The 8,180-nt window shown below is 50.9% G+C and overlaps 1 protein-coding gene across 54 annotated transcripts in view; it reads left to right on the plus strand.

The window, feature by feature from the left end:
• Positions 1–5,742, plus strand: part of ATG13 (autophagy related 13) — a 56,966-nt gene extending 51,224 nt beyond the window's left edge. For 50 of the 54 annotated variants that reach the window (NR_144423.2, NR_144422.2, NR_144424.2 and 47 more), the window contains 3 exon segments: positions 18–134; positions 628–756; positions 3,479–5,742. Coding sequence is in view for 51 of the 54 variants with exons in the window: in NM_001346319.2 (NP_001333248.1) it covers positions 18–134; positions 628–756; positions 3,479–3,556 (324 nt within the window). In the remaining 3 variants the exon portion in view is untranslated. 54 annotated transcript variants of the gene reach the window in all.

An 8,180-nucleotide genomic window follows, 5' to 3' on the forward strand; every position in this document is an offset into this window, starting at 1 on the left:
GCCTTGCTATGAAACAGGTGAATCCTCCAGATTCCCCAGAGACTGAATCTCCTCTCCAGGGCAGCCTGCACTCAGATGGCTCCAGCGGGGGCAGCAGTGGCAATACCCATGATGACTTTGTTATGATAGACTTTGTAAGTCGCCGTCACCTTCCTTGACCTTTGCTGTCCCGGGGAACTAGACCTAGAAGCATCTACTGCACTTGATCCAGATTTCCTTCATAGGGATCAGATGTGCTGGTGTAGACAGAAGGGATGGACAGGTGGAGTCTGGTCTGGGGAGACATTTTGGAGGCCGATAAACAACAAGGCATTTTTTGTCATGCCTTTGGTTAAAATTCATAATGAAATTCAACTCTAAATGGAGATTTTCCACTGATACCCACTTAGGTCCTATTCGTGGCTAGGCAAGGAGTTTGAAGGAGTGGGACATAAACTTAACTAGTGGAGAGGAATATTATCACCAGCATTAGAAGTGAACAGTCTGGGAGAGAAAAGTGTAAAGATTTCTCTCCCTAAGATAAGCCTGAAAGAACCTTTTGATAATTGCTAGAAGGAAAGACTTGTTCATAGCTTATCTCCTCTGTGGTTCAAGGCAAGCTAAACTGACTCTGTCTTGTTTTTGAAGAAACCAGCTTTTTCTAAAGATGACATTCTTCCGATGGACCTGGGGACCTTCTATCGGGAGTTTCAGAACCCACCTCAGCTGAGCAGCCTCTCCATAGATATTGGAGCACAGTCCATGGCTGAAGACTTGGTATGGAAACGTCTTCCTCTACCACAGTGCATCCTTATTTGATGGTCATTCCTTTGCCAAAGGCCTAGGAGGCCTACCACCTTCTATCTTCCCTGTAATAGGAAAGAGACATAATTAGAAAATTATCTTTTGATCACTCTTGAGATTGGCATTGTGCCCAGCAGTCATTATCTGGAATTTGCTTGAGCTTGGTTCCTTCTTTCTCTGCACATTCTCAGCATTACTTACATGCTCCTGTTGTTCTGTGCCTGACGTCTTCTCCTTGCAGATGCCACTAGGCCAAGTTGCTCTAACAGCCATTGCATTAGCTATTTAGCTTTCCAGGCAGATGCCAGTGGTACTGGGCAGAGGAGATTGTGAGGTCCTGAGTATCTGTGTTCTTGCTCTTTCCTCAGAGAGCTCACTCCGTCATCTAGCAGTTCTCACACTTGACCAGATGTCCTGATACTGATTATAATGACCCCATCTCTGCTTAGGGCATTTCCTCTTCCTGCCTCTGAGGGGCAGAAGAGTGCCCCGCACAAGCCACAAACTGGGTGCCCCATGCCAGGAGATGTCCCTCTTTGAGGTGGAATGATCACCTCCTAAATAGATATTAAGATCCTATGGTAGCTGCCCTGGATTTGCTTTAAGGAGAAAAGCATGCCCAGTAATAACAATACAGTAATAGCCAGGTGCAGTGGCTCACGCCTGTAATCCCAGCACTTTGGGAGGCCAAGGCAGGCAGATCACAAGGTCAGGAGTTCGAGACCAGCCTGGCCAACATGGTGAAACCCCGTCTCTACTAAAAATACAAAAATTAGCCAGGCATGGTGGCGGGCACCTGTAATCCCAGCCACTCGGGAGGCAGAGGCAGGAGAATCACTTGAACTTGGGAGGTGGGGGTTGCAGTGAGCCAAGATTGGATCACTGCACTCCAACCCGGGTGACAGAGTGAGACTCCATCTCAAAAAAAAAAAAAAAAAGTAATAATTACTACTACCAAGACCTTTTGGGCCAGGCACAGTGGCTCACACCTGTAATCTCAGCACTTTGGGAGGCTGAGGAGGCCTTCACTTGAACTCAGGAGTTTAAGACCAGCCTGAGCAACATGGTGAAACCCTGTCTCTACAAAAAGTACAAAAAATTAGCTGGGCGTGGTGGCATCCGTCTGTAGTTCCAGCTGCCTTGGGAGGTGGAGGCAGGAGGATTGCTTGCTTGAGCTGGGGAAGTCAATGCTGGAGTGAGCCATGTTTGCGCCACTGCCTCTAGCCTAGGTGACAGAGTGAGACCCTGTCTCAAAAACAAATAAATAAATAAATAAAAATCAAGGCTTTTTGAGTGCCAGGCATTTTTCTAAGTGTTTTACATGAATCTTCAACAGCCCTAAGAGGTAAGTTTTCTCATCCCAGTTTACAGATGAGAAAACCAACAATGATTAGCTTGCTCATAGTCACACAGACCCAGGCAAAACAAAGCTTTGCTTGATCTTAGAGGATCTGGTTCCTCAATTTAGCCTTTTAACCACTAAACTCCCTTGCCTATCATGACATGCACTTGGAAGAAAGTGTGGCTCCAATTCTCTCAACTGATGCCACAGCCGTAGCCAGTTCTGAGGCCTCCCTCTCCTTTCAGGAAGCTGCACCCAAACCACCCTCAGCTGTTGGTGTCTCCAGGCCACATTAAAAACTCTGAGGCAAGAGACTCTCCACGCTCCCTTGTGGTCGTGTTTAAACCCCTACTGGCAGGAAATTGTGATGGTGAAACTCTGCAGATGCAGCTTCTGTTCATTTAGTCATCAGTAGAGACGCATTTTTATTAATAGTTGATACTCTAGGACAGTTAAACTTCTCACAGTTCTGTTTTCCTCTGCTTCTGTCTTTACCATTCTCTCTCAATCTCTAACTCACCCCTTCCTCAGCTGGTATAAAGATAACAGATTCTGGCCGGGTGCAGTGGCTCATGCCTGTAATCCCAGCACTTTGGGAGGCCGAGGCGGGTGGATCACAACATCAGGAGTTCAAGACCAGCCTGGGCAACATGGTGAAACCCTGTCTCTACTAAAAATACAAAAAATTAGCTGGGCTTGGTGACGGGCGCCTCAGGAGGCTACTCAAGCTACTCAGGAGGCTGAGGCAGAGAATTGCTTGAACTCGGGAGGCGGAGGTTGCAGTGAGCTGAGATCACACCACAGCACTCCAGCCTGGGTGACAGAGCGAGACTCTGTCTCAAGAAAAAAATTTAAAAATACAGATTCCTAGGCCTTACCACAGACCTGCTACTGTGTCAGAATGTCAGTAGTATAGTGGGGCCACCTGGTTCACATTCCCCCCAGGGGGTCCCGATGCCCAGCAAAGGGTGTGAAGAAATCTTTTGTAAACTGTTTAATTTGTAGAGCTGTACACTTGGTATTTTATTCTAGTGTCAGTCAGATCTGTGCCAGGGATATTTCATGTTTAATTTCTGAATCATCTTGCTCTTGTGGTCCTTTTCTCTTTTGTTAAGTGTGTGGCCCACTTGGACTCCCAAGGCCGTTCCATTAATCCTCCAGCCCCTGCAAAGCCCTGATGCATATACCCCTCCCTACCCTGTGCCTACGCAGCTGCCCTGCGTTCTCCCACTTGCTCGGCCCAGCTAGGGCTGAGCTTCGTCTTGCTTGCTGCCTCCCCTCTTCGGGACTGGGCTGGCTGCCTCCTCAAGGCCCTGCCTGAATAAACGGCTCTTCCCTCTCTTTCCGGTACAGGACTCATTACCAGAGAAGCTGGCTGTGCATGAGAAGAATGTCCGCGAGTTTGATGCCTTTGTGGAAACCCTGCAGTAAAAGTATCCTTGAGTCCCAGCAGCACCCCCTTTTTGTGGCCCCAGGGCATAAGCAGCCTCCCATGCATCAGCTGCTCCCACCCCTCATCCTGCTCTGAGCCAGGTGGAAGGGAGGCTGGCTTCTCCCATGGGGACCCAGAAGTCCCTACTCTTGGACCTCCTGGAGACTCCGTGGCGGCAGTCAAGCCCAGTGCCCAGTTGGAGAAGACTCACGTGCTGGCCTTGGAGATGGGAAGAACCTTCGTACGAAAAAGCCCTCAGCAGGGCCATCTGTGTGCCCTGCCCATCACCAACTGCTTCCCAAGGGTGTCATCCTGTTCCTCCTGCTGCCGGCCTCCTGCCTGGGCCTGCCTTGCAGCTGGCCCCTTCCCTGCCTGCTGTCACCATCCACTGTTTGACATTCCAGCTGGTGGCCAAGAGATTGGTGTGGAGTCGCAGAAAGAGGAAGGAGACAGTGCCAGGAGGAAGAAGGAAGGAGTCCCTTAGCTCTCTTCATTGTCCCCTTTACTTCCTGCTATCTTCTTCTCCTCTTCTTCTCTCTCTTGCCTCTATGCCTGTATTTCTGGCAATATGACAGGCCTGCCTACCCAAGATCAGAACTCCAAAACCACTCCCACCCCTGAAGGTCGGGAGGGTCTGAGCAGCCCTGGTGGCTGCCTGTGCTCAGGTCCTCAGCTCCATGGGAAATAAAAATGGCACCCTGAATCTCTAGGATTTTGTCACTTGGAGTCACAGCAAAGTTCTCTTCCTCTTGTCCCCCCGTTGCTGCTCCTTGGTTATAGAACATGGTAAATATTTATTACTTTCAGAGAAACCAGATATTTTATAGAGGAAATATGTTTGAGGTGAGTTGTTTTTCACTTGGAGAAGGCGGAGGGCTCTTCCTGGGACGGAGACCTCCTCCTCCGGAGGTTATTGAGAATCCGGGCTGCTGCTTTGAGGATCTTCCCACCATACAGACAGCGAGATCCAAGAAGAGGGCTGGCCGGGGGCAAAGTCACCTCCCAGTGTGGCTGCACTGGAACTGACTAAAGGCTTTACCTTGGATAGTTGCGTATTCCTGGTGAGAGCCTTACATCTCCCACAGTTTCTGCAGAGTGACTGACTCCATTCTGGCAGCCCAGGAAGTCCTGGGTGCTAAATGTGATGGCCACATGTAGTGGTTAGGGGATGTTGTGTGTGTCCCCCAACTGCCTGGGTACTTGTTCCTGATCCCTGGGGCTGTCCTGTGGAGCTTTTCCTCCTGCTTGGGCCTAGCTACCATCTCCCTCTAATCCCAGGTTCTCTACACTGCCCTGGGGTTTACCAGCTGGATTGGCTTCTGGTTGAGAAATCAAAGCTGGGCGTATGATTGACTTAACCCTTCAGGTATTGTTACTTGAATAAGTCAAGTGCCTAGCCTCACCCACCTATGATCTGTCCTTTCCCAGCCTCGCTGGTAGTCCTGGTCAAGGAGATCTAGGTCTACTCCATTCCTCCTGGCCCACCTGGGGCATTCACTGGCAGCAGCTGTGCTTCAGTGGAGCAGGTGGTTCTCAGCTGCTTGTTAGTATACTGCATGTGACACTGTTCCCACATACAAGGCTGACTTCTGAGGATTGGAGCAGGCTCTGGCGGGGACCAGAGCTCTGCGTGCTGCTGCTGCCACCAAGAAGTGTTAGCAGAAGCAGTAGCAGCCAACTGGCCCTCCTGACTTTGGCCCAGAGCACATGCGTGGCTTGCTGAACCCAGGCTCAGGTTTATCCCCAAGGCCCCAGCTTTGAGAAGGGGGAAGGCCCCTGGTAAGTTATTGATGCCCCCATATTTCAGCTACTGCTCTCTTTCCAAGGCCTTGCATGGAAAGGCCTAGCCATTGTCTGAGGCAGCAATCTTTGGCATCTACAGGTGGCAGCAGCCTTTCACCAGGGCTCCATCTGTGAAGAGTCTCAGCCATGACTTTGAGCTGAGCTTGGGAGAAGTAAAGCAACTGTTAAGGCCAGCCCTTGCCCCTCAGACCTGCCATGAAAGGAATGAGCCCTAGACTGACTCCTGCAGCACCCCCGGGACAGGCTGGGACCAGCTGTTTGTCTCCAGGTGTCAGAGTCCCTCCTCCTCCTCCAACCTCTCCAACCTACTTTGTTTGGAAATACCGAGCTACACTTCAAAATGTATTCAAGGGATTTCCAATAAATTTTTTTCTGTACTTTACAGCCTCCTGTCCTGTAGGTTGTCTGAAGACCTCGTAACCCCTTCCCCACCCCTGCCCCAGTGCAGGTCTGGGAAAGGGGAGAGTGGTGCGTTGTGAAGCGCAGAAAGACCTCAAGTGTCTGGGCAAGCCTGTTTTGAGTCGGGTGTGGCCTCTTAGGGGCTGTATACCCTGGGGTTTCCTGGGTCAGGAAACTTCTTAGTATTTCTCTTTCCCTGGTCCCCTATCAGGGGCTTGAATTTGAATATTCAGTTGGAGAATGCATTTAAAATACACCCATAGTAAAATCTCCATAAAATGCAGGCCACCGTTATCAGCTCTTTATTGCTCTTACATAACAACTCACCCTGGAGGGAAAAACAACAGTGCAAGGCAGGGAGTGCAGGGCTCCCCAAGCCATCTGGGGGATTTGTGGCTGAGCAAGCAGAAGAGAAGTAGCAGGAAGTTAAAGGTCCATGCAAGTTTGTTAGCTGCCTTGATCTGACTGGCGGTGCTTGAGCAGCCAGGAAGAGTAGAAGAGCCCCGGGGTATGCGTCCTGTCTGGCTCCTGGGGCCTGGGGCTGCAGGCCTCTCAACCCGGCCAGGGCCAGCCCCGCCTCCTAATTCTCCTAGTTTGTGACCATAGTTAGGGGAGGGAGCTGATTGGTGGAGACAACATCCCGGAGGTAGGGATGGTTCTAGAGGCAAAAGAGAACTGACAGAACTGGACAGCTGCTGTCTGGGTTGCTTCCCCACCCGCCTTCAGGCTGAAGCTAGGCCCAGGATTAAAAGGGCTGGTTAGAAAAGTCCAAATCCAGCCTATTCCTGGAGCCAGGAGCTCCTGATTATTAGTAAACCAGGTGACACTGATCATGTGGCCAGCCAGGACAGTTGCCCAATACCTGAGTCAGAAGTGACGAAAAGGCTGTTCTGGTGTTCCCCCTTCAATCAGGAACCCCCAATAACAAAGTTTTCAGTTGCCCCATGCCCAGCAATGGTGTCCTACCTCTTTAAAGCATCTCCCTACACTCTACCCCTGGAGGCCATCGTTGTTAAGGCCTTGGTAAATTGGCATTTGAGTCACTCAGCAGAGGCCCTGCCAGGAGCCCAACCCAAGTAAACAGTTTCCTCGCTCCTGTTTCCCTGGGTCACTGCCTCTCTATTCCAGCCACTCAGCTCTAGCTGAGCAGATCCAGAGAGAGAGGAGGCCCCCAGTGCCTGGAGGAAGGCCACCATTGTGGAATGGGACTTGCTTCTTGGGGCTGAGGCCCAATGTTTGTAATCACCATCTGTAACCACAGCCTGATCCTGCAGCTCTGGCCCTGCTCCCCCAGCCCGGACAAGCAAGGAGGAGAAAAACCAGGCCCAACTGGGGCCGCTATAGCCTCCTGATTGCCATTAGCAAGCAAGCAGCAGACACCTGGAACCTGACCACTATGGGAGGTGAAATTCTGGCCTACCTTCTCACCAACAAACCTGTCAAAAAAAAATGCGGTAAATAATCATCTTAACTTTTAAAGCAAAGCAAAACTTGCTTAAGAGAGGATAGGAGAACTGGATCTGTCACAGCCTCCGTGTGGGCCTGGCAGGTGGAAATGGCCTGGCCTCAGGCTGAGGGGTGGGCAGGAAGGGAGGACTCGGGCTGAGGGACCCTCTCCCAGCTGCTGTTGCATGAGGCTGGGGCTATCACACCATTCACCCATGACCACTGCACACTCGCGGTGTTAGATACGGTCTACATTTTTTTTTTTTTTTTTTTGAGGTGGGGTCTTGTTCTGTCACCCAGGCTGGAGTGCAGTGGTGCAGTCACGGCTCACTGCAACCTTGACCTCCAGGGCTCAAGCAATCCTCCCACCTCAGCCGCCTCAGTAGCTGGAACCACAGGCATGTGCCATCATGCTCGGCTAATATTTTTTTTTATTTTATTTTTGGTAGACAGGATCTTACTATGTGAGATCTAACTATGTCCAGGCTGGTCTCGAACTCCTGGGCTCAAGCAATCCTCCTGTCTCTGCCTCCCAAAGTGGTGGGATTACAGGTGTGAGCCACGTGCCTGGGGTGTCTGCATTATTTCTGATCCTCAAAGGAACCGTCTTCTGATGAAGCAGCAGCCACAGGGGTGGTGAGCCAGTGATGATGACTGTTAGCGGTGAGAGCTGGCACGTGAGGGAACGAGGACTCAAACTCTCGTGTGACTCCAGATCCCACACCATTGTCCATCACAGTCCACACCACTTTTCTTCCCCCTGCTTGCCTTAGATAAATCTAAGATCCCTTCAAACTTCCGGTACCTTCCAGTTGGGAAACAGGAGAGGCCCTGGTCATAGGATGCAGCACATGGTGGCCTGCTGGAATGCTGGGGGTACAAACAACGGGAAGGTGGCCGTGGACACCTCCATGCCTAGAAGCTGGTCAGGAAGCTGCCCTCATCACCACTCGAGTGCACAAGATGAGGAAGCGG

This window comes from Homo sapiens, chromosome 11 (genome assembly GCF_000001405.40).
Source record: "Homo sapiens chromosome 11, GRCh38.p14 Primary Assembly".
NCBI classification, from domain to species: Eukaryota; Metazoa; Chordata; class Mammalia; order Primates; family Hominidae; genus Homo; species Homo sapiens.